The sequence below is a fragment of the Homo sapiens genome, chromosome 20 (assembly GCF_000001405.40).
Source record: "Homo sapiens chromosome 20, GRCh38.p14 Primary Assembly".
Taxonomy (NCBI): domain Eukaryota; kingdom Metazoa; phylum Chordata; class Mammalia; order Primates; family Hominidae; genus Homo; species Homo sapiens.
Window position 1 is genome coordinate 51,056,889 of NC_000020.11, and position 1,514 is coordinate 51,058,402.

At 50.2% G+C, this 1,514-nt stretch overlaps 1 annotated feature.

Annotated features, from left to right (window-relative positions):
• Positions 723-1,223: an enhancer, noted in NCBI's record as "H3K4me1 hESC enhancer chr20:49674148-49674648 (GRCh37/hg19 assembly coordinates)". NCBI's record gives its function as "activates a minimal SCP1, AML or CMV promoter by ChIP-STARR-seq in primed H9 embryonic stem cells {active_cell/tissue: H9 hESC(primed)}" and the evidence as "EXISTENCE:reporter gene assay evidence [ECO:0000049][PMID:30033119]".

Genomic DNA, 1,514 nt, shown 5'->3' on the forward strand with positions numbered 1-1,514 from the left:
CAGGAGAGACCCATGTGGCAAGGAACTGAGGGCATGTCCTGCCAATCATCAGCAAGAAAGCGAGGCCCTTAGTCCGACAGGTACCCGAAGGGACCCAAATCCTGGGTCCCGAATCCTGCCAAAAACCACAGGAGTGAGCTTTGACGTGGATCCCTTTCCCAGTTGAGCCTTCAGATAAGACCATGTCCCAGGCTGACAGCTTGATTGCAGCCTAGTGACAGAACCTGGGCCAAGGACTCAGGGAAGCCATGCCTGGATTCCTGACCCACAGACATGGTAAGATAGTAACTGTGTGTTGTTTTAAGCCTTTAACTTTTGAGGTGATTTTAAAATGCAGTAGTCGAGAACTAATACAGAAACAGAGAGGCTCAGAGAGGTGGAGAGACTTGTCTGAGGTTACATATTTAAGATTTCAAGCCAGGTGTGCTGATTCCCAGCTCAAGTCTCTTTAGCACCACCCTTTGTGCCTCTAGGGTCTTGATCACAGTGGCCTTAAAGGCTTGATGCAGGCTGGGTGTGGTGGCTCATGCCTGTAATCCTGGCACACTGGGAGACTGAGGTGAGTGAATCACCTGACGTCAGGAGTTTGAGACCAGCCTGGCCAACGTGATGAAAACCCATCTCTACTGAAATTACAAAAATCAGCCAGGTATAGTGTCACATGCCTATAATCCCAGCTACCCCAGAGGCTGAGGCATGAGAATTGCTTGAACCCAGGAGGTGGAGGTTGCAGTGAGCCAAGATTGCACCACTGCACTCCAGCCTGGGCGACAGAGCGAGACCCTGTCTCAAAGAAAAAAAAAATGCTTAACACATATGTGTAGCTCCTTTTGAGACAGCAGTGGGAAGTCAGTGAAGGTTTACAGGCATGATGTGGGATAAGAGAAAAGCCCATGTCTTCCTGCACCGAACATCTAGGCTGCAGCCGTGAGGGCCAGCCTCGGGGCAGGGACATCGGAATCATGAGGCTAAGACCTTGGAGTGTTCTGAGGACTTGAACTGAAGGTGAGAGGCAGAAAAAAATATACCCCCTTGCTTTTCTTCCACCAGGATGTTTTGAAGAGGAATGCCTCTTCAGGGAGCGGGCAAGGAGAGGAGGGGGCTGTGTCAGGGTGCCGACTGTTTTCTGGTGATAGTAACAGAGACCCGAGGGGAATATCTGAGCTTGGATAGTCACTGCAGTGGCTCAGTCACGACACATACCCCCCTCTCCCCCACAGGCAGCCTCTCTGCGGCCACCCGCGGCCCCCAAATGAGAGCCGCCTGGGAGTCTCACGCCTTTCATTTCCTTGTGACAATAGCAGAGGAAAATAGCTTTCTGGACTCAGCCCGACACTGATAATTAAAGGAACACTTTATCACCAGCAAGGGTGGAAACACCCACCAATGGCCTTCCAGAAAAAGAAAAAAAAAATTAAAAAAGGCTTGGTCCCATCAGTCTCTTCTCTTCATATGGAAATAGCTGGCTGGTTTGTGAGTCCTAGCTCTGTTGATTTCTTCTCTGTATTTCTGCA